Source organism: Homo sapiens, chromosome 4 (genome assembly GCF_000001405.40).
Source record: "Homo sapiens chromosome 4, GRCh38.p14 Primary Assembly".
In the NCBI taxonomy this organism is placed as follows: domain Eukaryota; kingdom Metazoa; phylum Chordata; class Mammalia; order Primates; family Hominidae; genus Homo; species Homo sapiens.
Genome location: NC_000004.12, coordinates 87,793,273 through 87,820,240, shown reverse-complemented (window position 1 = coordinate 87,820,240; position 26,968 = coordinate 87,793,273). Strand labels below are relative to the sequence as shown.

The following is a 26,968-nucleotide window of genomic DNA, read 5'->3' as shown; positions in this document are numbered from 1 at the left end:
CAGAGAAGCATGTGGAGGCTTGCGTTGTGAATTTTAGCTCTAGATTGACTGCAAGAACAAACCAACAATCCCAACAGGAGCCACAGACCCTCTGAAGGACGTGGACTGCTCCTGCAGGACCTGGGAGACACCTCAAATACTGTGAGTGCCCCAACTGTGGAAGTGGGAAAGGGAAACCCTCCTCTCCCAAACACACACCTCCACGGGAGAAGCTGAAGTTCTGTTTGTGGGAGAGGTTTCCGATTTTACCAGGAGCTGAGTCAAGTTAGAGAGCCAGTGAAATACAGGGGTAGAGGAAGCAGCAAAAAAGCCCTAGGAGTTCACTGAGTCCCCAAGCAGCCTATTGTTGTCTGGCATCACAGAGATCCATCAGAAGAGTGGCCAGAGGAGCAGGGGGTAAAACTCCACAGGGAGAAGGAATTCTCTAGCTGAACTTCATAACAATTTGAACGGAGCAGAAAGCCTCCTGGCCAGAACTCCGGGGAGGGCATGAATCTGGAGTGCAAACTTCACAGGCTGGGGAAGAACTAAAGCCCTTTTCTTTCACATCTGGGAGTTGGATAGCCTTGGGCAGGTTTTCAAGCCCATCTAACTCTCTCCCTGGAAACAGACTTGGGGATGTTGGTGGGGACACGGTGGGCGTGAGGCTGGCCCTTCAGTTTGCATGGGAGCTGGGTGAGGCCTGTGACTGCAGGCTTTCCCCGACTTCCCTGACAACCTGCATGACTCAGCAAAGGCAGCCATAATCCACCATCCCCCACTACAGCCGCAGCATGACTAGCCCAAGGAGAATCTGAGCTCAGACATGCCTAGACCAACCCCCACCTGATAGTCCTTCCCTATCCACCCTGGTAGTGGAAGACAAAGGGCATAAAATCTTGGGAGTTCTAGGGCCCTGCCCACCACCAGTCCCTCTCCACGCTACAGCTGATGCTTTCTGGAAAGTCCCACCTCCTGCCGGAGGCCAGCCAGCACAAAAATAGAGCATTAAACCACCAAAGCTAAGGACCCCCATGGAGTCCATTGCACTCTCTGCCACTTCCACTGGAACAGGCACTGGTATCCATGGCTGAGAGACCCATAGATGGTTCACATCACAGGGCTCAGTGCAGACACCCCACAGTACGAGCTTGGAGCTGGGTAGACAGCTAGACCCAGAAGAGAGACAACAATCACTGCAGTTCGGCTCACAGGAAGCCACATCCATAGGAAAAGGGGGAGCGTACTACACAGAGGGAACACTTTGTGAGACAAAAGAATCTGAACAACAGTCTTCAGCCCTAGACTGTCCCTGTGACAGAGCCCACCCAAATGAGAAGGAACCAGAAAACCAACCCTGGTAATATGACAAAACAAAGCTCTTCAACACCCCCCCAAAAATCATACTAGTTCACCAGCAATGGATCCAAACCTAGAAGAAATACCTGATTTACCTGAAAACGAATTCAGGAGGTTAGTTAATAGTTAAGCTAATTGTGTGTGTGTGTGTGTGGGGTGGGGGGGTTGGAGGGGAGGGGAGGACCAGAGAATGGTGAAGCCCAATGCAAGGAAATCCAAAAAATGATACAAGAAGTGAAGGGAGAAATATTCAAGGAAATAGATAGCTTAAAGAAAAAACAATAAAAAAATTCAGGAAACTTTGGACACACTTTTAGAAATGTGAAATGCACTGGAAAGTCTCAGCAATAGAATTATTGAACAAACAGAAGAAAGAAATTCAGAGCTCAAAGACAAGGTCTTCGAAACAACCCAATCCAACAAAGACAAAGAAAAAAGCATAAGAAAATATAAAAAAAGACTCCAAGAAGTCTGGGATTATGTTAACGACCAAACCTAAGAATAATCGGTGTTCCTGAGGAAGAAGAAAATCCTAAAAGCTTGGAAGACATAACTGGGAGAATAATCCAGGAAAACTTCCCCACTCTTGCTAGATACCTAGGCTGCAAATACAAGATGCACAAAGAACACCTGGGAAATTCATTGCAAAAAGATCTTCACCTAAGCACATTGTCATCAGGTTATCCAAAGTTAAGATGAAGGAAAGAATGTTAAGAGCTGTGAGTCAGAAGCACCAGGTAACCTATAAAGGAAAACCTATCAGATTAACAGCAGAATTATCAGCAGAAACCCTACAAGCTAGAAGGGATTGGAGCCCTATCTTCAGCCTCCTCAAACAAAACAATTATGAGCCAAGAATTTTGTATACAACAAAACTAAGCATCATATATGAAGGAAAGATACAGTTGTTTTCAGACAAACAAATGCTGGGAGAATTCACCATTACCAAGCCACCACTACAAGAACTGCTAAAAGGAGCTCTAAATCTTGAAACAAATCCTGGAAACACATCAAAACAGAACCTCTTTAAAGCATAAATCACACAGAATCTATAAAACAAAAATACAAGTTAAAAAGCAAATGCAAAAAGCAAAACAAAACAAAAACGAAAGTACACAGGCAACAAAGAGCATGATGAATGAAATGGTACCTCACATTTCAATATTAACATTGAATGTAAATGGCCTAAATCCTCCACTTAAAAGACACAGAACTGCGGAATGGATAAGAACTCACCAACAAACTATCTGCTACCTTCAGGAGACTCACTTAACACATAAGGACTCACATAAACTTAAAGTAAAGGGGTGGAAAAAGACATTTCATGCAAATGGACACCAAAAGTGAGCAGGGGTAGCTATTCTTATATTAGACAAAACAAACTTTAATGTAACAGTGGTTAAAAGAGACAAAGAGGGACATAATATAATGGTAAAAGGCTTTGTCTAACAGAAAAATATCACAATCCTAAACATATATGAACCTAACACTGGAGCTCCCAAATTTATAAAATAATTACTAATAGACCAAAGAAATGAGATAGACAGCAAAACAATAATAGTGGGGGACTTCAATACTCCACTGACAGCACTAGACAGGTCATGAAGACAGAAAGTCAACAAAGAAACAATGGATTTAAACTATACCATGGAACAAACGGACTTAACAGATACATACAAAACATTTCATCCAACAGCCACAGAATACACATTCTATTCAACAGTGCATGGAAATTTCTCCAAGATAGACCATATGATAGGCCATAAAATGAGCCTCATAAATTTAAGAAAATTGAAATTACATCAAACACTCTCTCAGGCCACAGTGGAATAAAACTGGAAAGCAACTCCAAAAGGAACCTTCAAAACCATGCAAATACATGGAAATTAAATAATCTGATCCTGAATGAGCATTGGGTCAAAAATGAAATCAAGATGGAAATTAAAAAATTATTTTAAAGCATTCCCTCTGAGAACTGGAACAAGACAAGGATGACACAACCTATTAACAGGACAATAATGACACAACCTATCAAAACCTTTGGGACACAGCAAAGGCACTGCTAAGGGGAAAGTTCATAGCCCTATATGTCTACATCAAAAAGTCTGAAAGAGCACAAATAGACAATCCAAGGTCACACCTCAAGGACATAGAAAAACAAGAACAAACCAAACCCAAGCCCAGCAGAAGAAAGAGAATAACCAAGATCAGAGCAGAACTAAATGAAATTGAAACAAACAAACAAAAAATACAAAAGATAAATGAAACAAAAAGCTGGTTCTTTGAAAAGATAAATAAAATTGATAGACCATTAGTAAGATTAACCAAGAAAAGAAGAGAGAAAATCCAAATAACCTCACCAAGAAACAAAACAGAAATTACAACTGACACCACTGAAATACAAAAGATCATTCAAGACTACTAGCAACACCTTTACACACATAAACTAGAAAACCTAGAAGAGACGGATAAATTCTTGGAAAAATACAACCCTCCTAGCTTAAATCAGGAAGAATTAGATACCCTGAACAAACCAATAACAAGCAGCGAGATTGACATTGTAATTAAGAAATTACCAACAAAAATAAAGTCCAGGACCAGACAGATTCACAGCAGAATTCTACCAGACATTCAAAGAATTGGTGCCAATCTTTTGACACTATTCCACAAGACAGAGAAAAAAGGAGCCCTTCTTAATTTATTCTATGAAGCCAGCACCACCCTAGTACCAAAACCAGGAAAGGACACAACCAAAAAAGAAAACTACAGACTGATATCCTTAATGAACATAGATGCTAAAATCCTTAACAAAATACTAGCTAATTGAATCCAACAATATATCCAAAAGATAATCTATCATGATCAAGTGGGTTTTATACCAGGGATGCAGGGGTGGTTAACATACACAAGTCAATAAATGTGATACACCACATAAACAGAATTAAAAACAAAAATCACATGATTATTTCAATAGATGCAGAAAAAACATTTGAAAAAATCCAGCATCCCTTTATGATTAAAACTCTCAGCAAAATTGGCATACAAGGGACATACCTTAATGTTATAAAAGCCATCTACAACAAACCCACAGCCAACACAGTACTGAATGGGGAAAAGTTGAAAGCATTCCCTCTGAGAACTGGAACAAGACAAGGATGAGCTCTCTCACTACTCCTCTTCAACATAGTACTGGAAGTCCTAGTCAGAGCTAGGAGAAAGAAATAAAGGGCATCCAAATTGGTAAAGCGAAAGTCAAACTGTCACTGTTTGCTGAGGTATGATTGTTTACTCTGAAAACCCTAAGGATCCCTCCAGAAAGCTCCTAGAACTCATAAAAGAATTCAGCAAAGTTTCTGCCTACAAGATTAATGTACACAAATCAGTAGCTCTTCTATATACCAACAGTGATCAAGCAGAGAATCAAATCAAGAACTCAACCCCTTTCACAATAGCTAAAAAAAAAAAAAACAAAAAAAAAAAAACAAACAACTTAGGAATATACTTAACAAAGGAGTGGAAAGACCTCTATAAGGAAAACTACAGAACACTGCTGAAAGAAATCATAGACGACACATATAAATAGGACACATCCCATGCTCATGGATGGGTAGAATCAATATTGTGAAAATGAACATATTGCCAAAAGCAATCTACAAATTCAATGCAATCCCCATCAAAAAACCACCATCATTCTTCACAGAATTAGAAAGAACAATTCTAATATTCATATGGAACCAAAAAAGAGCTCACATAGTCAAAGCAAGACTAAGCAAAAAGATCAAATCTGGAAGCATCACACTACCTGATTTCAAACTATGCTATAAGGCCATAATTACCAAAACAGCATGGTACCAATATAAAAATAGGCACATAGACCAATAGAACAGAATAGAGAACCCAGAAATAAACCAAATACTTACAGCCAATTGATCTTTGACAAAGAAAACAAAAACATAAAGTGGGGATAGGGCACCCTTTTCAACAAATGGTCCTGGGATAATTGGCAAGCCCTATGTAGGAGAATGATACTAGATCCTCATCTCTCACCTTATACAAAAATCAACTCAAGATGGATTAAGGACTTAAATCTAAGACCTGAAACTATAAAAATTCTAGAAGATAACATTGGAAAAACTCTTTTAGACATTGGCTTAGGCAAGGATTTCATGATCAAGAACCCAAAAGCAAATTCAATAAAAACAAAGATAAATAGCTGGGACCTAATTAAACTAAAGAGCTTTTGCATGACAAAAAGAACAGTCAGCAGAGTAAACAGATAAGCCATGAAGTGGGAGAAAATCTTCACAATCTATACATCTGACAAAGGACTAATATCCAGAATCTACAACGAATTCAAACAAATCAGTAAGAAAAAAACAATCCCATCAAAAAGTGAGCTAAGGATATGAATAGACAATTCTCAAAAGAAGATGTACAAATGGCTAAAAACCATGAAAAAATGCTTAACATCATTAATGATCAGGGAAATGCAAATCAAAACTGCAATGCTGTACTACCTTACTCCTGCAAGAATGCCCAAATCAAAAAAATCAAAAAAAACAGTAGATGTTGGCATGTATGTGGTGAACATGGAATGCTTCTACACTGCTGGTGGGAATGTAAACTACTACAGCCACTATGGAAAACAGTGTAGAGATTCCTTAAAGAACTGAAAGTAGAGCTACCATTTGATCCAGCAATCCCACCACTGGATATCTACCCAGAGGAAAAGAAGTCATTATTTGAACACATGTATATTTATTGCATATTTGAACACATGTATATTTATAGCAGCACAATTCACAATTGCAAAATCGTGGAACCAACCCAAGTGTCCATCAATCAATGAGTGGATAAAGAAACTGTGGTATATATATATATATATATATATATATATATATATATATATATATATATATATATGATGGAATACTATGCAGCCATAAAAAGGAATGAATTAACAGCATTTGCAGTGACCTGGATGAGATTGGAGACTATTATTCTAAGTGGAATAACTCAGGATTGGAAAACCAAATATCGTATGTTCTCACTGATATGTGGGAGCTAAGCTATGAGGATGCAAAGGCATAAGAATGATACAGTGGACTTTGGGGACTTGGGGGGAAGAGTGAGAAGGGGTGAGGGAAAGACTACAAACGAGGTGCAGTGTATAGTGCTCGGGTGATGGGTACACCAAAATCTCACAAATCACCACTAAAGAACTTACTCATGTAACCGAATACCACCTGTACCCTAATAACTTATGGGAAAAAATATATATTTATTTAAAACCAAATTTTTTAAATTTGTGGTTTGAATATTTGAGAAACGAATTTTGGAATAAAGATATAATAAGACAAAAAGTTTGAAAAAATGAATGTTATGATGCATGGACAGTCTCATAACTGGTAACTAACAGACTAAAATTACCCCAAACACAGTATTCTTCATTTTCATATGCTCAATGTGTGAACATTGTCTGGCTCTGTAGATGTTCAGTACATCTTATCAATTAATAAATTAAAAGATGAATGCATTTTTGTTCTTTTTGCTCTTTCTATCTACTTTCCTTCTTTACTCCCATTTTAAATGGCTTTCAGGTTTATATTAAGGTGTGACTTGCTGTTAAGTCTTTGTATATCAGCCCTCCTTTGTGCGTATGTGTTGTGTAAGAGTTTTTTTCTACCTCATTCCACCCCTTGTCCAGCTAAAATTAAGCCAAGTAGAAGTAGGATTGCCAGATAAACGAAGCACTCAGTTAAAGTTGAGTATCAGGGCCGGGAGTGGTGCCTCACACCTGTAATCCTAGCACTTTGGGAGGCCGAGGTGGATGGATTACTTGAGGTCAGGAGTTCAAGACCAGCCGCCTGGCCAACATGGTGAAACCCTGTCTCTACTCAAAATACAAAAATTTAGCCAGGTGTGGTGGTGTGTGCCTGTAATCCTAGGTACTCGGGAGGCTTAGGTAGGAGAATGGCTTGAACCCAGGAGGCAGAGGTTGTAGTGAGCCGAGATGGTGCCACTGCACTCCAGCCTGGGTGATAGAGTGAGACTCTGTCTCAAAACATAAATATATAATAAAGTTGAGTATTAGATAGGTAGTGAATCATTTATTTAGTATAAGTATGTCCAAAATATTTCACAAAGGCCAAATATTGCATGGGGTATACTTATACTAAAAATTATTCATTGTTTATCTGAAATTCAAATTTAATAGGCATCCTATATATTTGTTATATCTGGTAACTCTAGTAAGAGCCATTCATTCCCCTGACGTGTATGGCTAACCCTGCCCACAAGCATGGCAAAGTCTTAGTTATGTTGATTTAGCCAAAAGAAAATGTTTACAGTGCCTCTTAGTTTTAAACTATAGTGGAAATAAGCTTTTCTCCTTTAGTGAAATTGTCTTCCATTTGTTTCACCTTTTCCATTATGAATCTCTCACTTCTCTTCTTAATTATAACACATTTGAAGGATTGCATTTTTATTTGTGATAAAACTCGTAGATTAGAATATACATACAGGTCACATAAAAATACATGAGGATGATAAACCTAATACACAGTGTTGCATAGGTAGTGCGATTAAGAAACTACACATTTATTGTATACAGTGTCATTAATGTCAATGAAATTCTTAGAAGCACTTCTTGTACAAAGAGTATGTTTTTGCAGTTAGCAATACTACAGGCATGTTAAAAACTACTATTTATAGAGCTACAACCTCAAACCATTCAATGAAATTTGATCTTATGAGTTGGTGTACTGCTTGATAAATGGTCCTGATTTACAATGATCATTCCATAACATGCCAGAAAAAAAAGGGACAAGAAGCCTATTACTTTGCAGAAGCAATTACAGAAAATCTGGAACGGTAGTACCATTCCTCATTATAATATGCACATTTGTTATATTGCACCTTCCTGAGTTGAACTTCGAAAATGGTAGCCGGATGCAAAGCCAGAATGGATGAATTCATCCCAGGCTGGAGCTTCACTGGTGGTGGTAGTAATTCTGACCATCATAGCCATCGTAGCCTTGTCCTTTAAAGTAGCTGTACTCATCTTCATAGGCTCGGTAATTGTCCCCACGAGGTTCCCCGTTCTCACTTTCATAGATTTCATATCCATTGTCGTATTCATTGGCGCCCGTGTATTCGTACTCCCCCTCGTATTCAACGGTGGTGGTTTTCCCAAAAGGTGGGGAAGTGGTTCTATAGACTTGTGGTGGGGTTGTAGGTTCAAACCCACCATTTGGAGAGGTTGTTGTCTTCGAGGTGCCCTTGCCCTGCCTTCCGGTCTCTGTGGTGTCTTCTGCATTGGCTCCAGTGACACTTTCTTCTTCCCCTTCTTCTCCATTGTCTCCTCCGCTGCTGCCGTTGCCGTTTTCTGCCTCTGTGCTGTTGGTACTGGTGCCGTTTATGCCTTGTTCGTTTTCATCCACTTCTGCTTCGCTTTCTTCGTTTTCATTTCCTTCCTCTTCCTCCTCTTCTTCTTCATCACTTTCCTTCTCTTTTGTAGCTTTATTTGTTATATCCCCAGCCTGTAAGGAAACGTTTGAAAGAACCCAAATCTAGCTGTGAAAAATGTAAAATTTAAGGCCGTCATTTCATGCAACACAATACTGACAGCCTTATTCTAGGCGTCTTATTTGAATTAAGGCCACTTTAATTTACAAAATGATTGGGGGCTTTAAAACTTCAGGATAAACCCCTTTGTCATGGGTTTTGATGGGGAAAGTGTGCCATTATTTAAAGATAATGCCTTTCCTGGGGGAGAGTCTTCCTATCGTTTTGCTACTCACTTTCTCTGTCTTGGAATTCTCTTCCCTGGAATGTCATGGTATCTCTCAGGACCTTTTATCCATGCCTAGTGGTGTGTTCTTAGTCTTCTGTTATAATGTAAAAGTCAGTGTAATAACATGGTAGGAGAACTTGCCTGGGAGAAGATATTTTCTTATTTGTAAATAGGAAAATTGTATCTGCTCTCACTTCAGCGAGTTAATGAAGATAGTATAAAATACTATGTGTGTAGTGTTAGGATACCCTTAGACTCCAGTTAAAAAGTTTAAAAAAGATTGAACATTACCATTATTATTAATGGTAATAATTTCATTTTGGAGGAATAATTCCATTGTTACCTTCTTGGGAAGCTGGATTGCAGCTAACCCTGTATACCCTGTGCCAGGCGTGGCGTCCTCTCCATAGCCCAGTGTTGTAGCAGAAAGTGTGGTATTCTCAGCCTCAGAGTCTTCATCTTCATTCGATTCTTCATTGTTTTCTCCTTCATTTGAAGTCTCCTGTTAAAAATATTCATAGTAAGAAAAATTATTTTACCTGGAAGATAGTTCAAGATTTACTGGAGCTGTGAATCATTTATTGAAGGTTTATTATTTGGAAAAACTTTGCATCCCTCAGCTGGCTGATCACTCAAAGCCTGCCTTCCCCTATGCCATTTGCACTTCTCACTTCCAAGAGCTCAACTCCAAGTTATTGAATCCTCCTTACTCCACACTATATGTTTTAGATATTTCTGCTTTGTATTTTATCAATTAAAAAATACTTGTGTTTCAGGCATTTGACACATCATTTTTTTTCTGCACAAAGAAGAAACTAAACACTCTAAGAAATTCTTAGTGATATATTATTGCATGAAGGTTTTTTGTTTTTGTTTTGTTTTGTTTTTGCAGAGTCATGCTCTGTTGCCAGGCTGGAGTGCAGTGGTGTGATCTTGGCTCACTGCAACCTCTGCCTCCTGGGTTCAAGCGATTCTCCTGTCTCAGCCTCCCCAGCAACTGAGACTACAGGCACATGCCACCACACCCAGCTAATTTTTGTATTTTTAGTAGAAACGGCGTTTCACCGTGTTGGCCAGGATGTGATCTTGACGTTGTGATCTGCCCGCCTCAACCTCCCAAAGTGCTGGGATTACAGGCATGAGCCACCGCGCCCAGTCTGCATGAAGGTGTTTTAAAAAATTAATACTCTTCAAATGAATGTCTATTATAATCTTTAATATTTAATCTTTTAGCCTTTATATCATATCGTGAGGCAATTGTTTTTTAATTGAGTTGATCTCAGTGTAATTTGTAGCTAATATAAAAAGTCAAGGTTTCCTATATATACAATTTATTTATTTTAAACAAATACTGGAAAATTGAATTCACTTCAATACATTTTAAGAGATTGTGATAACTTTTAAAGTTTAAAACAAACAAACAAATATTTAGCCTATTATTAAAACAAAGTGACTAAAGCACCACATGTTTGTTTCATCAAATTTGTAAATTTCACTATTTCAGTGAAGGGTTGCAATACCACCAGAGTATACCCCAAACAGTCTCCAAGCTAATTGTGTCAAATATCCCCAAAACACCATGTGTTTGTTTATTGTTTTATGTTTATGCTTTATTCCAACAGATGTTTCAGAGGTAGAAGGAGAAATTTATTCTACCATCCTTAGAAAGATCCCCAGAGTAGAAGAATATACTATTTGCAGTTGAAAAATCTGATTGGCTTATATGACTCATATGAGGTCAAATAGATAGCAGTTTATTGGTGGTAGGGTCACAACTAAAGGCCCAATATCCCAACTTTTATATTTTCTCTTACACCTTTTCTTTTCCCAGATACTTTATTTAAGGATGTTCCGCTGCACATGAGTTACATAGGAAAATAGGTTACTGTTGATGGGTATGAGGCTTCACAAATTTTATTGGATAGAAAAATAGCACTAATTTGCGCTTACAAAGATATTATCAACTCACTAGATTGGCTAACAAGACTGAAAGAAGCAAGTGTTGGTGAGAATGTGGAGCAACCGGAACCCTCATACACGGATGGTGAGAGTTTACCTGAGTACGTCTGTTTTGGAAAGCTGGTTGCCATCTACTAAGGTTGAATATATATGCCTCAGTAGATTTCGACTCCGAAATTTCACTTTTAGGTGAAATGGCCTCGAGAAATGAATATGTATATGTTCACCAGAATAAGTTCTAGAAAGTTCATAGCAGCACTTTGTAATCACCCAAACTTGGAAACTACTTAAGTGCCCATCAACAGAAGAATAACACATTTTGGTACATTCACGTAATGAAATACTAACAATGAGAATAAATGATCTACAACTACAGAACAACATGGATGAATCTCTAAATTTGAGAGTGAAGAAGTGACACACAAAGAGTAAATCATGTATGATCCTACATTCATAATATACAAAAACAGGCCAAAGTCAATCTATTAAGAGTCAAAATACTGCTTGCCTTTGGTAGGGGTTTGTTAATGAGTGGAATGGAACACAAGGCACGCACTGCTTTTTGATATGAGTGCTAGTTTCACTTACGTGTTCAATTTCTGAAATTTCAATGAGATGTATAATTAGGATAATTTTATTATGTATATTTCAATAAAAGTTTCTTTTATGTCTGGGCGCGGTGGCTCACTCCTGTAATCCCAGCACTTTGGGAGGCCGAGGCGGGCGGATCACGAGGTCAGGAGATCAAGACCATCCTGGCTAACATGGTGAAACCCCATCTCTACTAAAAATACAAAAAATTAGCCAGGCATGGTGGCCGGTGCCTGTAGTCCCAGCTACTTGGGAGGCTGAGGCAGGAGAATGGCGTGAACCTGGGAGGTGCAGCTTGTAGTGAGCTGAGATTAAGCCACTGAACTCCAGCCTGGGAAACAGAGCGAGACTCCGTCTCAAAAAAAAAAAAAAAGTTTATTTTATGAGACTAAATAGTTTAGGAGTGGAAAAAGGAAATGTGTGATCACCAAATAGAAAATATGCCTAAGTATTCTCCTCATACAAATACAATCCCTGGGGACTCTATATTTAACCTAAATTGCTAATAACATTTTAGAGAATGAGGAAAAAAGATGTTTCAGAATCTCTTCAGGATGAAAGACTTCTGGTTTTGTTTACCCGCTTTTCCATTACTACTTTTAATGAATGAAGTTTGTTGCATTTATTCCTCTGAAGTTTCAAAACCAAACCACCAGATATGTACTGGGCACCATATATGTATAAGAAATTATGCTAGGCAGCATGAAGAGATATAAAACTGAGTAGCATGGCTCTTCCCCAAAGCAGGGATTTTAACCTATGGTCATGAGGTGTCTGCAGACACGTTCTGGGAAGACCTTAAATGTTCAGAGATCCTTGGCAAAATTTTGTGTGTACTTGATTTCATCAGAGTCCCCAAAGAAGTCCTAGTCTTCCTCAGTCCTCAACCACCACAACAACAAACGAAGAGCCACTCCCAAAAGTTATGCAATCTAGTTGGGAAATGTAGTTGACAAGGCAATTTTACAATCACTGTACAGCAAATAGCTATAACTAAATGGATAACCTTAGCCTAGTTCTTGTGTAAGATTGCTATGTGGAACTCCAGCAGAAATGTTGTGGGATTTAGTGGGTGGCATTTTTCCTGGTACTGGCTTAACATTCTTGTAAGGCCTTCCTTCAAGATGTTAGTATAAATTATGATACGGGAAATGTTACTTTTATAGTTAAAAATATACCAAACTAATGATTCGTCACCTTTCAAGTTCCCACACCATTTTGTTTTCAAGACAGCTGTTAATACATGATCCATTTTTGAATATCATTGTCCATTCATAAATAGCACCTGAGAAAAGCTGAATTTAAAAGGTTCCTAAACCAGTGGTAGCTATAATTGACTATGCGGGAAAGATGCATCCTAATTGGTATGTTTCCTTAGGCAAGAGTATCAGTTATAAACATGGTAGCACAATTTCCAAGACATGTAGATGATTCTTAGCCCAGGACTACACTAATCTGTAAAACTATATGGGAAGATATTTATATACCTATGAATTTTATTACTACCCAAAAAGACGTATGATTTTTTTTTGTTGTTTTTGTTTTTTTTTTCTGTGACAGAGTCTTGCTCTGTTGCGCAGACTGGAGTGCAGTGACAGGATCTTGGCTCACTGCAACCTCCACCTTCCGGGTTCAAGTGATTCTCATGTCTCAGCTTCCCGAGTGACAGGAATTACAGGTGTATGCCACCACACCTGGCTAATTTTTGTATGTTTAGTAGAGACAGGGTTTCACCATGTTGGCTAGGCTGGTCTCAAACTCCTGACCTCAAGTGATCTGGCCGCCTTGGCCTCTCAGAGTGTTGGAATTACAGGCATGAGCCACCACAACAAGCCTGAAATTTTTTTAAAAAGAATAACCCTACTTTGTGGGTTATGAAAGGCTGATGAATCACAATAATATTGTAGAGGAGATATACGGGTTTTTACATATTACCCTCTTGGTAAATTAAATTGTAAAGTTCAGTCCTTAAAACAAGTCTTGCACTGAGTTTAGGATTACTATTCACTTGTCTTCTAACATCATGTTCTATCCACCTAAATAGAAGTAATGCTATCTGTTACTTTTTATCAGATTTTATACTACTTCTGTTGCTTTTTATCAGATTTTATACTACTTCTACTTAAAAGGGAGAGATTTTTGGTTTTGAGCACCATTTGTAAGTAATTTCAACCCCAAACTGCAATAGTGTTTTAAACAGGTCATGTTAGTGGATCCTAATTTAAATAAAATTCTGCTTATCCAAAATAGGATATTATGGGCAGTTAGTAAAGTGACAATGGCTATTTGCTGAGTCCAGAATGCAATAGACTAGTTTCCTATTTGTTTCTTGTGCTGTCTGCTTTATTACGAAAAGATTGCAAAATTCCTTACCTCTTCTTCCTCCTCCTCTTCTGAACTGTCATCTCCATTTTCTTCGGATGAGTCACTACTGCCCTAAAAATATATACACATGTATGTATACTCTTATCTGTGTACAAATATATTCAACAGCAATTTAAATTTCCTGCTAATTGAATCACAATAAAATACACACAAATATTTACTCAATCTAATTAGTATTACCATCTTGACTGACTTGTTTACTAAGAACAGATTGCATACTGATGTGAGAAAGATAGGAGATTAGACATGCAAAATGAAGTTAGAGAAAAATAGGCATTTTACTATGATCAAGATATGAATTGGATGTCCCATTTGTCAACTTCCAAAGCATTGACAATATATTGAAACATTTTGTATGTAAAAACTAGGGCAATGAATCACAGAATTGTTTAACTTTGAGAGAACAAGTGAATTAACTGGTCCAATTTTTAAATTTTATGGAGAATGAATCAGCGGCCTAAAAAAGTTGTGACTTCTCCAGCAGGTTCAAGGCAGACCTTGGGCTAAGATATAGTTCACATTTTAAAATTTTATTTAGAAAACATGAAAGAAATCATTCAGCTTACTATAAAAGTTGTTATAGATGATTCTCTTACATAGTGAGCTCTCCTGTTGAATTTAAATTAGCACTTAATTTAATAGCATTTAATTTGCATATAATTTTTAGTATCTTTAAATTTGATTAAAGCCAGTTCCTAAAATGAGGTTAATTTATACATGTGAAGTAAAAATCTTATGACTTATTCATTTAATTATTTGGGAGGTTGTGTAGAGTAATATCCCTCTAACAAGTTCAGTGTTGAATGAGAATAAATTAAGATTTTGTATATAAAAATATAATTATAAGCTAAAGAGTTTTGCTACTTTTTGAAAGGAAATGTAAATTCCAATCTAAGATTCTGTCATTTCCTTCCCTGCAATATTTAGCTTTGATTCTGATGACCCAGTTAATGTCTTGCATTTAGAAAATATAGCTGCAGAAGGATCTCTAACTTCTGGGTTAGAAATCAAATGTGAGACAACATTCATGTCCAGGTCCTGTGGGACTGTCCCTGCTGGCTCATTCTTCAGATGGCCACATCATCCACCCAAGGAAAGGGAATGCTTGTCACCTCGAGCCAGGAATAACCTCAGGTGGAAAAGAGAATAATTAAACCTGTTCTTCCACTGCCATGACCTTAATGGTTGTGCCTTCCCTAGCCCAGAGGGTGAATAGAGTATTATATTTGGACGATTTCTATTTGTTAGTTAACTTAATTATAGAGGACAGTATATTTATGCAATCAGAACTGTTTCTCTCAGTGGGGGTATTTCAATCACTTCACATGCTCCTTCACCTCTGGCTTTCTCCCTAGCTCAACCACATCACTCTTCGATTAGTGTCTGCAGTGAGAACACTTTAAAAGCTGTATGAAATGCCTTGAAGCTTTGGCATTTTCCTATCTTTCATTTATGCATTATTACCAATTTGTTGCTAAGTCCAATTGATTCTCCAAGAAGTCTTTCATTTGTCTACACAGATAGATGAAAGAGTTCTGAAATTGAAGACAATTCTGAAAACCCACAACTCTTGTCATAGCTGAGATGAGTCCGATAAAGGAAATATAAGATTAAATTCTTACCTTCTATGAGTTCAACTAATAAAATATCATTTGAATCACAAAATGACAATTTTCTCAATAAAGAAGCTTAGGATGTTAAGTTTACTTAAACTTTCATTTCTATAGTCTAGCAGATATATAAGCCACAATAGATAGCTTGCTGATCACTTTGCAATCCAAATAACATATGTCATTGTAACTTGGTAATTTAGAAATGATTGTATATAAATGCAGATTTGTTTGATGGAAACATGAATTTCAAAGCCAATACAGATTAATGTGTTTTGGGGTGACAACATGGGCACTAAACACCTAACAATACACTTAAAGAAAATCAAATTTTGTAAAGTAGAAGAATGGGTCATGAATACTAGGTCAGACAGTAGGATTGGGAGATATATTGTATATAATTTTATTTAAAAACAATTATCTTACAAGTTCTACATTAGTTGAGATGGGCCTATCTGCATATAATTTGTGAAAAAACTTGTATATTAAAGATCTCCTTGATCTACAAACCTCAGGTCTATCAATATTGAGAAATGTAATGCCTCCTAATATTGCTTCACTATGGACATTTTAATGGGCCCATACATACATATCTATAAAAATATCCAGATGGGAATGAATATCTCTATGTACCTAATATTTCAGAAAAGTTTAGGAGCTAGTCAGAGACTTGAATTTATTATCATTTCCATTTAGTTTAAAAAAGAGAACAAAGCAAACTTTCAAATGAGCACTGTTTATTTATGGATCTGAGGTGAACCAAAGAAGGGAATACAATTCTGAAAACCCACAACTCTTGTTTCATTCATGCTCATATTTTTGTGGCCACACAAATTCCCCATAATTATGCTGGTGCTAGAAATACTTTAAAATGATCATTTCCTATCATTGTAGGGGTTAGAGATGGATTAGCCCAACATATGGTAAGATGCAATGCCAAGCCACTGTGCTGAGGCATCGTTTTCAGCATCCTGACTGCTTTTAGTGTCTCAAAAGTCCTGGGTCAAGTGGTGCATAATTGGTGTCCTGAACCCAAACTGTATGGTACTAAAAATAGTGCAATCCTGGTTTGTTGTATATTTAAAATCAACACCACACCCTCTGGTTTTCAAAGGCACTCTTCACAGGTAACCCGGCAAAATTGGAAACTCTTATTTTTTTTTTAGTTATTTTCCTTTTTGTTTACAAATTTAAGGGATGGTTTGTTTTTCTCACAAGCTTTTTTGGTGCACGTCATGAATTTCTCTTTTTCCTCTGCAGTTTTACCATTATGATTATGCTCCAGTGTATGACATATTGCTCTAGTGACCCACACAGGTTAAGGTGCAGAAAATCTTCAGAAATTACCATTGATTATCAAGGTTTTTTAAAAACAATGGCCTCTGATGTTTATGAAGTCAAATTTTCCCCTACCAATTAAAGGACTCTGCAGTGCCACATGTAAACAGCTATCTGACAGTATTGAATCAGCTGTAATAGGACAGCCAGTGACCTTATCACTGATGGAATTGGTCAACAACTGATAAAACTGTCCACTTTTGTCTGTGAGTTAGCAAAAATACCAGAGCTCAATGTGCTACAGTGTTTGTTTTTATTATATCATTCTAGACTGTACCCAAATGATCCAAATGATTTTACTCTGTGTATATGTCTGCCTTAAAAGAGAACTTAGAAATAAACCTTATTTCCCTAAAAACAAACTTCTTATAGTAAGCAGTCTTTTTGACTGAATTTCAGTGAGAGTTGAATTTAGGTGTTTTATAGTTAAAATTTGATCTCCTTTAAATTATAATAGAAATTAAACTGAAGAAAAATGAATTTCTATATTTACCTGAACTGGAAATCGTTTTAAATGAGGATAAAAGTAGGCATGCTTGTAAAGATAATATCGTGGCCTGTACTTAAAGACCTGCAAAAACAAAATAAATGATATATTCATGTTTAATATGCAATAAATATACAGCAAGTATAATCAGGCCAAGGAAGTATGCTAAAATTAATTACCCCATTTTCTTCAGAATCCTCTATTTTGACTCTTCGATGCAAATTTTTCATCTGTTTTAAAGAACATTTAATTATTGCATAATTTTTCTTTTACATAAAAAGACAAAACTGAAAATAACTGTGGGTTTTGATAAAGAACTTACTGAGAAAGCACAGGCCATTCCCAAAATGCTGAGCAAAATTAAAGCAGTCTTCATTTTGGTGATTGCTTCTGGAATTAATGAAGTGGTAAGGTTAATAAAATATTAAAACTAAGAGCATAACTTTTTTACTCATATTCAAAGATGAAGTATTTAATTTGTTTTCATTTCTGTGTAATTATCACTTTGACTAATTAAAACTAAATTATTCCTTTTATTTTCAAATTATTCCTTCCATTTAAGTAATATAAGACTGACTTAACCCATCCGTTTAAATAATCTTGAGTTCCATACTTGGTTTTAACCTATTTTTTGTGATTTCTCAATGGAAGACCTTTTCATTACTGCAAGAGATTTTGACTACTTAGGGTACTTCACACTGGCGTAATGGCCCTCTTAATATTGACATGGAGTGTCAGCTAAGTGAATTGAATTGTTAGTGTAGTTGTGTGCCCTGTTTGTTTGTTTACAATTAAAAACTCGACCAGGTATGGTGGCTCATGCCTCTAAAACCAGTACTTTGGGAGGCCAAGGTGGGCAGATCGCTTGAGTCCAAGAGTTTGAGATGAGCCTGGGCAACATGGTGAAACTTGTCCTCTACAAACAGTGCAGAAATTAGCTTGGCATGGTGGTGCACACCAGTAGGCCTAGTTACTCGAGAGGCTGAGCCTGGGAGGCCAAGGTTGCAGTGAGCCGTGTTCATACCACTGTACTCCACCCTGGGCAACAGAGTGAGATCCTGTCTCAAAAATAAAACAAAAAAGCAAAAATCACTGATACCCTATAGGCGGTTTCCAGCTTCTATATAGGTTTTGGGCTAAAAATTTATTTGTAAAATGGAAAGTAGGAGCAATTTTCCTCTGAACATCTTGGAATAATTGGTGTGTGTGTGTGTGTATATGCGTGTGTGTGTGTGTGTGTGTGTGTGTGTGTGTGTATGGGTGGGTGGATGAGAGACAGAGACAGAGAGACAGAGAGGATCCATAATATATGAAATATCACACTGACATCATGTAGCACGCAACAGCAACTCCGCTAAGGATGCTTCCATGAGGAGTTCTTCAGAGTTTCGCCTTGAGATATCGGGGGCAGATTTCCTCAAATTAATTTGCTCTCCAGCTCCATTTAAGCTTTCCATCTGCTAGTGTATGAGACTGTACTGGGATGGATTAGGGGCTCTCCAGGGTTAGGGTGACAGACATGGATGAAAATTTCAATTCTATGGAACAATCGAAGATGCAGCTCTCAAAGTGGGAATAGGGCCTGAATAATCTTGGGGATTGCAGCCATAAAAAGAGCCTCAGTTCCACATAAATTCCTCATGAGTAAAAGGAGATAGTGAAATGCTATCCTATCTTAATTTTATTCTATTTAATAAAATTGTATTTAAAATTATATCATAATAGAAGTTGGGCAAGCTTAGCTGAAAGCCTACTAACACTCAGCCATTTACATTTACATACACATTTAACTGTTAGCACCTTCTCATACACAGTCACAGCTTTGGCAATATTTTGGAAGCAAAATGTAGTGGTGATGGCAATTTCCCATGAATACATTTTGAAAATAATACTTAAAATGTGCAAACCAATGTCATATATTGAAACCTGCTGGTAAATTGTGTATTGTGTCATCATCAGCCAAGATTTATTGCATCCTTACTGAGTATCTGACACTAAGTCCTGGAGATACTGTCTTGGGTCCTAAGTCACACTCTTTTTGTGTGTCAGAGTGAGTCTTTGGGTTTTGGTGCCCAGACAGTTTCTCACAGTCCTATCTTAGTAAAAGGTCTTGATGGCCCCTTGGGAATAAACAGGCTTTGCTCCTGAAGGAGCCCATCTTTTTAAGCAGCACTGATTTCTATCGGGGTGGTCTAAATAATGCTTTGAACTTTGCCAGCCGTGACCAAGCCCATCAGCAAAACAGAAAGATTATTGCTTTGCCACTTTGTGAGAAGGGTCGGAATATTTATAATATTTTAAAGAGCTAAAAGCTTAGATACATAGAATTATAGAAATAGTTTTGATTACACAAATTTCTCATAACAATAAAAATAACCAGATGAAAAGATGGCATAAATAATAATAATAACAATACAAAGAACCAAGTAGTTCTTGTAGTCAGGATTGGCTGCCTATATAAATCTAATTTTATTTACTTTGTGAGTCAACAAAAAGCCAAGACCTCTATAGTGACCACTACTAACCCAGACAACAATTCAAACATTCTTAAAGGAGAATTTTGAGGATTTAATTTCAAGTTTTATTGGGAAGGGTATGATAAACTACCAAGAGTATTTATTTCTCTAGTTAGTACAATATATTTTCTGTTCTGACTTTAGAGCTATAGGAAACATCAAAACCTAATGTTTAATATGTTGAAAAGACAACATATGTACTTGAAGTACAGACTAGGTATAATTTGTAGAGAAATATGCATATATCTAGCCAGATTTGCAAATGCAAAATAGTATTTCAATCAGGTTATCTTGAATGCATCAGAATGAGAAAACAAACAGTTAAGCTATGATTTGCAGAGAATGAAAGTAAGAAGCATAATGTAGTTTATGTGCATAGTATTAAGAACTTATTTACATGCTTAGGTTAATAAGTTTAGCCTTTTGGAAAGAATTTAAAATCTGAAGTGCCAGTTTAATGATAAATAATTATTAAACCATGTACAATGCAATAACATCATTTAAATGAAAAATTCAAAGCCAAGTTCAGAGATGTAAACTATGGAGTGTCTAATTTTATGATAATGAAGTTGTTCTATTAAATCTTACCCTCTGGCAGTCCTGGAGTGAGGAAGCAGGCTCAAGGCAGTGAGTGGCACAGATTGAGTATTTCCTCTGCCCTCTCACTCACTCATTCACTTGCTCTTGCTGGCTATAAACTCTTCTTTGCCTTCCAACAGCCAATCACTGTCACGACCAAGGTGATGTCAGAACGTGGATTCTCACCAGAAAACCCCCAAACTTCAACACTTTTTCAAGACACAGGCTCAGTTGAATAAACAAGAAACGTGATTCTAGAGCCAAGAGGTTTGCATTGTGGAATTTAATTGAAGGTTTAGATGAAGATGAATAGTTTGGGCTCCGAATATGTATAATAATATACTGGATTTGAATTAAAATAAATAACAAAGGCTTTAACCTTTTAAAAATTTCATAATTATACAAGTTTTCACTATGTCGAAAGAAAGGAAAGCTTGCTGTCATTAGATATAATTTTACATTAGTTTAGCTAAAAAAAGAAAGAAAAACTAAATAATAAGGGAAAGGAGCAGATGAACCATCAATATTTTAATATCATTTGATGTTTCCTCCTGAAATATACTTCATTGACTCATAAATTAAAGTTGATATGATTAAGTCGGTCAGACTTTGTAAGATATAGTTGCTAAAACATGATGCTGAGTATAAAAGTTAGAACTTTTGAGAATCATACCACTGAGAGGCAGATTTTATATTTTGTTTTGTAAATTAAATCTCTGTATATTGTCCATTTATGTGGCCCTTCCTGTCGTGCATGTGAGGTCAGCTCATTTTTTTCTTGGGCTTCTATATATATCTTTTCTATTCATTTTCATATTTAATTTTTTTCCTATGAGAATAACAAAATGACTAGAGCTAGCAGGAGTGATCCATTGTTTTTGAAATGATTCATGAAACCAACACCACAAAGAATGGATTGATAAACTAAAGTACTAATTTTTTAATTTACAAAGGGAAATCTAGCTTAATAGTTTGCATATTCTCCTAGTCTAGTCATTTTATTCTTCCTCCAGTTGCGAAGTCTGCTTGAGAAATCAAAAATTAATGAATATCATTTTTTTTCTTTTTTTCTCTTAATTTTTTTTATTATTATACTTTAAGTTTTAGGGTACATGTGCACATTGTGCAGGTTAGTTACATACGTATACATGTGCCATGCTGGTGTGCTGCACCCACTAACTCATCATCTAGCATTAGGTATATCTCCCAATGCTATCCCTCCCCACTCCCCCCACCCCACAACAGTCCCCAGAGTGTGATGTTCCCCTTCCTGTGTCCATGTGATCTCATTGTTCAATTCCCACCTATGAGTGAGAATATGTGGTGTTTGGTTTTTTGTTCTTGTGATAGTTTACTGAGAATGATGGTTTCCAATTTCATACATGTCCCCACAAAGGACATGAACTCATCATTTTTTATGGCTGCATAGTATTCCATGGTGTATATGTGCCACATTTTCTTAATCCAATCTATCATTGTTGGACATTTGGGTTGGTTCCAAGTCTTTGCTATTGTGAATAATGCCGCAATAAACATACGTGTGCATGTGTCTTTATAGCAGCATGATTTATAGTCCTTTGGGTATATACCCAGTAATGGGATTGCTGGGTCAAATGGTATTTCTAGTTCTAGATCCCTGAGGAATTGCCACACTGACTTCCACAATGGTTGAACTAGTTTACAGTCCCACCAACAGCGTAAAAGTGTTCCTATTTCTCCACATCCTCTCCAGCACCTGTTGTTTCCTGACTTTTTAATGATTGCCATTCTAACTGGTGTGAGATGGTATCTCATAGTGGTTTTGATTTGCATTTCTCTGATGGCCAGTGATGGTGAGCATTTTTTCATGTGTTTTTTGGCTGCATAAATGTCTTCTTTTGAGAAGGGTCTGTTCAAGTCCTTTGCCCACTTTTTGATGGGGTTGTTTGTTTTTTTCTTGTAAATTTGTTTGAGTTCATTGTAGATTCTGGATATTAGCCCTTTGTCAGATGAGTAGGTTGCGAAAATTTTCTCCCATTTTGTAGGTTGCCTGTTCACTCTGATGGTAGTTTCTTTTGCTGTGCAGAAGCTCTTTAGTTTAATTAGATCCCATTTGTCAATTTTGTCTTTTGTTGCCTTGCTTTTGGTGTTTTAGACATGAAGTCCTTGCCCATGCCTATGTCCTGAATGGTAATGCCTAGGTTTTCTTCTAGGGTTTTTATGGTTTTAGGTCTAACGTTTAAGTCTTTAATCCATCTTGAATTGATTTTTGTATAAGGTGTAAGGAAGGGATCCAGTTTCAGCTTTCTACATATGGCTAGCCAGTTTTCCCAGCACCATTTATTAAATAGGGAATCCTTTCCCCATTGCTTGTTTTTCTCAGGTTTGTCAAAGATCAGATAGTTGTAGATATGTGGCGTTATTTCTGAGGGCTCTGTTCTGTTCCATTGATCTATATCTCTGTTTTGGTACCAGTACCATGCTGTTTTGGTTACTGTAGCCTTGTAGTATAGTTTGAAGTCAGGTAGTGTGATGCCTCCAGCTTTGTTCTTTTGGCTTAGGATTGCCTTGGTGATGCGGGCTCTTTTTTGGTTCCATATGAACTTGAAAGTAGTTTTTTCCAATTCTGTGAAGAAAGGCATTGGTAGCTTGATGGGGATGGCATTGAATCTGTAAATTACCTTGGGCAGTATGGCTATTTTCACGATATTGATTCTTCCTACCATGAGCATGGAATGTTCTTCCATTTGTTTGTATCCTCTTTTATTTCCTTGAGCAGCGGTTTGTAGTTCTCCTTGAAGAGGTCCTTCACATCCCTTGTAAGTTGGATTCCTAGGTATTTTATTCTCTTTGAAGCAATTGTGAATGGGAGTTCACTCATGATTTGGCTCTCTGTTTGTCTGTTGTTGGTGTATAGGAATGCTTGTGATTTTTGCACATTGATTTTGTATCCTGAGACTTTGCTGAAGTTGCTTATCAGCTTAAAGAGATTTTGGGCTGAGACAATGGGGTTTTCTAGATATACAATCATGTCATCTGCAAACAGGGACAATTTGACTTCCTCTTTTCCTAATTGAATACCCTTTATTTCCTTCTCCTGCCTGATTGCCCTGGCCAGAACTTCCAACACTATGTTGAATAGGAGTGGTGAGAGAGGGCATCCCTGTCTTGTGCCAGTTTTCAAAGGGAATGCTTCCAGTTTTTGCCCATTCAGTATGATATTGGCTGTGGGTTTGTCATAGATAGCTCTTATTATTTTGAAATATGTCCCATCAATACCTAATTTATTGAGAGTTTTTAGCATGAAAGGTTGTTGAATTTTGTCAAAGGCCTTTTCTGCATCTATTGAGATAATCATGTGGTTTTTGTCTTTGGCTCTGTTTATATGCTGGATTACATTTATTGATTTGCGTATATTGAACCAGCCTTGCATCCCAGGGATGAAGTCGACTTGATCATGGTGGATAAGCTTTTTGATGTGCTGCTGGATTTGGTTTGCCAGTATTTTATTGAGGATTTTTGCATCAATGTTCATCAAGGATATTGGTCTAAAATTCTCTTTTTTGGTTGTGTCTCTGCCAGGCTTTGGTATCAGAATGATGCTGGCCTCATAAAAAGAGTTAGGGAGGATTCCTTCTTTTTCTATTGATTGGAATAGTTTCAGAAGGAATGGTACCAGTTCCTCCTTGTACCTCTGGTAGAATTCGGCTGTGAATCCATCTGGTCCTGGACTCTTTTTGGTTGGTAAGCTATTGATTATTGCCACAATTTCAGATCCTGTTATTGGTCTATTCAGAGATTCAACTTCTTCCTGGTTTAGTCTTGGGAGAGTGTATGTGTCAAGGAATTTATCCATTTCTTCTAGATTTTCTAGTTTATTTGCATAGAGGTGTTTGTAGTATTCTCTGATGGTAGTTTGTATTTCTGTGGGATCGTTGGTGATATCCCCTTTATCATTTTTTATTGCGTCTATTTGATTCTTCTCTCTTTTCTTCTTTATTAGTCTTGCTAGCGGTCTATCAATTTTGTTGATCCTTTCAAAAAACCAGCTCCTGGATTCATTAATTTTTTGAAGAGTTTTTTGTGTCTCTATTTCCTTCAGTTCTGCTCTGATTTTAGTTATTTTTTGCCTTCTGCTAGCTTTTGAATGTGTTTGCTCTTGCTTTTCTAGTTCTTTTAATTGTGACGTTAGGGTGTCAATTTTGGATCTTTCCTGCTTTCTTTTGTGGGCATTTAGTGCTATAAATTTCCCTCTACACACTGCTTTGAATGCGTCCTAGAGATTCTGGTATGTTGTGTCTTTGTTCTCATTGGTTTCAAAGAACATCTTTATTTCTGCCTTCATTTCATTATGTACCCAGTAGTCATTCAGGAGCAGGTTGTTCAGTTTCCATGTAGTTGAGCGGTTTGGGTGAGATTCTTAATCCTGAGTTCTAGTTTGATTGCACTGTGGTCTGAGAGATAGTTTGTTATAATTTCTGTTCTTTTACATTTGCTGAGGAGAGCTTTACTTCCAAGTATGTGGTCAATTTTGGAATAGGTGTGGTGTGGTGCTGAAAAAAATGTATATTCTGTTGATTTAGATTCTTTGGATAAGTCATCTTTTCTTTCATAAAAGTTACTTGGAAAATACAGACTCATAAAAAGAGAAGTTGGATACACTCTTTCAATTTAATTCAACCCCATCAATTTAGTTGAATTTACCAAACCTTGAATTATAGAGCTTTTCACTGAACCATACTATGATATAAGATATGAGAAGAAAAACAAAAGAAAATGATTTCTGTCTAAAAATTTCACAGTTGTGCAAGGCAGATAGACATATAGCCATGGGATGCAGTAACCTTAAATTATAGAGCTTTTCACTGAGCCATACCATGATATAGAATATGAGAAGAAAAACAAAAAAATATGGTTTCTATCTAAAAATTTAACAGTTGTGCAAGGCAGATAGACATATAGCCATGGGATACAGTAACTTAAATATCTACAAGGTTCCGAGGCGCTATGGAATGAGAGAGGTTTACTACTAATTGGCAAAAGAGCAGTGGAGCTGGGCCCTTACACAAGAGTAAGAATTTGCTAGCTTGTCAAGAAGGAGAGGTTGTCAAGAAGGAGGAGAGAAACATTATTAGGAATGTGTTCAAAGGTTATAAAGGCATATGAAACCACATAACAACACCACCCTGTATTTACTGAGCGAGGGCTCACATGCGAATTCTTCACCTGCACTATTTCTTTCATTCTTCGTACACATAGAAAACAATTCTTTGAGATTATTCCCATTACAGAGGTGAGGTATATGAGACACAGTGCTGGTAAGTATGCCTTGTATTGCACAACTAGTAAATGGGGAAATTCAAGGATCAAAGTCAAGTATGTCTAATTTTAGAGCCCACATTTTAATCACTACATATTCTTGCTGGCAGACCCAGAAAACTTCAATAATTCAATAGACTGGAATATTGTGAGTGAAAGTAGTGACACATGAAGTTGGTCAGATAGGCAAAGCCAGATGATGGAGGGACCTGTCTGTCACACTAAGGAGTATGAACTCCATCATGAAAACTGAGAAAAATAACATATTCAGATTTTCAGCTGGAAAAATCTTTTGTTAACAAGGCAGCAGTGACTGAAGAAGGCAAGATTGTTATGGAGAAGGGCAGCTTACAAAGGCTAATCATAGTGGTCCAATAAATCAACAATAAAGTCTGAAATAATGTAGTGACAGTGGGAGTGGTGAGGAGGGAACAAATGAGAGTGATGTAAAATAGATACAGTCAGTAGGACTTAGTAGAAGTAAGAGAGGTGGAGAAGCCTAGGATGACTTCTGGATTTCTGGCTTGGATAATTTTGTGAATGGTGCAACCATGTCTTATGCAATGCCGAATAGACCACCTGCTATGTTCTAGTCACTTAGCAAGCTTTTTTTGATAGTAACATGATATAATGAAAGAGGTAGAGACTGAGACTCAAAAGTCTGAGGTTTCAGTCTTGACTCTCCCACTAATTTGACTCTACCTCTTAACCATTCTGAGACTTCAATTTAAACCATCTTTAAAAAATAAGAGAGTTTTCACCAAAAAGAAGAAACCAGGCATTATGTGTACCTTCACACTCATGGAGCATTCTGACCAAATAAATGAACTTGAATCTGATCAGGCCTCTATATCTACCAGGTTAGAGGAAATACAAGGATAGAAGAACATGTAAAATAAGACCATTGAGACACATTCAGGAAAATCCAGAACATGGGAAACTTTATTAGATGCATTACTTCATTTCTTCAATAAAATAGAAGGAAAAATAAAAAAGAAGGAAAGGGAAACTCAAATTATAAAGACTTTAGAGACATTTCTAAATAAATTATGAAAGAATTGGAGAAATGTTG

General features: G+C 37.0%; 1 protein-coding gene across 1 annotated transcript, besides 22 other annotated features; it reads right to left on the bottom strand.

The window, feature by feature from the left end:
- Positions 67-1,266: an enhancer, noted in NCBI's record as "MED14-independent group 3 enhancer chr4:88740127-88741326 (GRCh37/hg19 assembly coordinates)". NCBI's record gives its function as "activates an origin of replication core promoter dependent on BRD2, BRD4, P300/CBP and CDK7 cofactors, and independent of MED14, by STARR-seq in HCT116 cells {active_cell/tissue: HCT116}" and the evidence as "EXISTENCE:reporter gene assay evidence [ECO:0000049][PMID:35650434]".
- Positions 67-1,318: a biological region, named in NCBI's record as "MED14-independent group 3 enhancer GRCh37_chr4:88740127-88741326".
- Positions 471-1,318: an enhancer, noted in NCBI's record as "H3K27ac hESC enhancer chr4:88740075-88740922 (GRCh37/hg19 assembly coordinates)". NCBI's record gives its function as "activates a minimal SCP1, AML or CMV promoter by ChIP-STARR-seq in naive and primed H9 embryonic stem cells {active_cell/tissue: H9 hESC(naive and primed)}" and the evidence as "EXISTENCE:reporter gene assay evidence [ECO:0000049][PMID:30033119]".
- Positions 7,806-20,687, bottom strand: IBSP (integrin binding sialoprotein). Its single transcript, NM_004967.4, has 7 exons — positions 20,608-20,687; positions 17,826-17,893; positions 17,683-17,733; positions 17,510-17,587; positions 14,057-14,119; positions 9,477-9,635; positions 7,806-8,879 (listed from the first exon to the last, which is right to left on the bottom strand). Exons 2-7 carry the CDS (start codon positions 17,877-17,879, stop codon positions 8,331-8,333), a joined length of 954 nt encoding a protein of 317 aa, NP_004958.2. The 5' UTR covers positions 17,880-17,893; positions 20,608-20,687; the 3' UTR covers positions 7,806-8,330.
- Positions 20,539-21,012: a promoter, noted in NCBI's record as "-319 to +148 promoter fragment". NCBI's record gives the evidence for it as "EXISTENCE:reporter gene assay evidence [ECO:0000049][PMID:9069166]".
- Positions 20,539-25,689: a biological region, named in NCBI's record as "IBSP 5' regulatory region". NCBI's record gives its function as "regulatory_interactions: IBSP".
- Positions 20,568-20,591: a protein binding site, noted in NCBI's record as "YY1 site". NCBI's record gives the evidence for it as "EXISTENCE:protein binding evidence [ECO:0000024][PMID:9069166]".
- Positions 20,630-21,617: a promoter, noted in NCBI's record as "-927 promoter". NCBI's record gives the evidence for it as "EXISTENCE:reporter gene assay evidence [ECO:0000049][PMID:12459268]".
- Positions 20,630-25,689: a promoter, noted in NCBI's record as "-5000 promoter". NCBI's record gives the evidence for it as "EXISTENCE:reporter gene assay evidence [ECO:0000049][PMID:12459268]".
- Positions 20,685-21,036: a conserved region, noted in NCBI's record as "conserved region; BSP box". NCBI's record gives the evidence for it as "COORDINATES:sequence alignment evidence [ECO:0000200][PMID:9084640]".
- Positions 20,712-20,717: a TATA box. NCBI's record gives the evidence for it as "COORDINATES:motif similarity evidence [ECO:0000028][PMID:8061918]".
- Positions 20,739-20,743: a CAAT signal. NCBI's record gives the evidence for it as "COORDINATES:motif similarity evidence [ECO:0000028][PMID:8061918]".
- Positions 20,752-20,773: a protein binding site, noted in NCBI's record as "CRE1". NCBI's record gives its function as "positive regulation of promoter activity" and the evidence as "EXISTENCE:protein binding evidence [ECO:0000024][PMID:18088579, PMID:19127545]".
- Positions 20,752-20,773: a protein binding site, noted in NCBI's record as "CRE1". NCBI's record gives its function as "positive regulation of promoter activity" and the evidence as "EXISTENCE:protein binding evidence [ECO:0000024][PMID:18088579]".
- Positions 20,769-20,788: a protein binding site, noted in NCBI's record as "R1 Runx site". NCBI's record gives the evidence for it as "EXISTENCE:protein binding evidence [ECO:0000024][PMID:12750290, PMID:17956871]".
- Positions 20,882-20,888: a transcriptional cis regulatory region, noted in NCBI's record as "D element; corresponds to site A (PMID:12750290)". NCBI's record gives its function as "important for expression in osteoblasts and hypertrophic chondrocytes" and the evidence as "EXISTENCE:site-directed mutagenesis evidence [ECO:0005528][PMID:12397605, PMID:12750290]".
- Positions 21,090-21,099: a transcriptional cis regulatory region, noted in NCBI's record as "E element". NCBI's record gives its function as "important for expression in chondrocytes and fibroblasts" and the evidence as "EXISTENCE:site-directed mutagenesis evidence [ECO:0005528][PMID:12397605]".
- Positions 21,347-21,369: a protein binding site, noted in NCBI's record as "CRE2". NCBI's record gives the evidence for it as "EXISTENCE:protein binding evidence [ECO:0000024][PMID:20965237]".
- Positions 21,347-21,369: a protein binding site, noted in NCBI's record as "CRE2". NCBI's record gives its function as "positive regulation of promoter activity" and the evidence as "EXISTENCE:protein binding evidence [ECO:0000024][PMID:19127545]".
- Positions 21,475-21,498: a protein binding site, noted in NCBI's record as "AP1(3) site". NCBI's record gives the evidence for it as "EXISTENCE:protein binding evidence [ECO:0000024][PMID:19393184]".
- Positions 21,475-21,498: a protein binding site, noted in NCBI's record as "AP1(3) site". NCBI's record gives the evidence for it as "EXISTENCE:protein binding evidence [ECO:0000024][PMID:19393184]".
- Positions 21,617-25,160: a silencer, noted in NCBI's record as "-4470 to -927". NCBI's record gives its function as "represses promoter activity" and the evidence as "EXISTENCE:reporter gene assay evidence [ECO:0000049][PMID:12459268]".
- Positions 21,650-25,160: a mobile genetic element.

Coding starts and splice junctions, on each gene's coding strand:
- IBSP (NM_004967.4), bottom strand. CDS start 17,879: ATGAAGACTGCTTTAATTTTGCTCAGCATTTTGGGAATGGCCTGTGCT. Junction 17,588..17,682: donor AGGATTCTGAAGAAAATGGG/GTAATTAATTTT, acceptor TTGTTTTTGCAG/GTCTTTAAGTACAGGCCACG. Junction 8,880..9,476: donor CAATCCAGCTTCCCAAGAAG/GTAACAATGGAA, acceptor GTTTCCTTACAG/GCTGGGGATATAACAAATAA.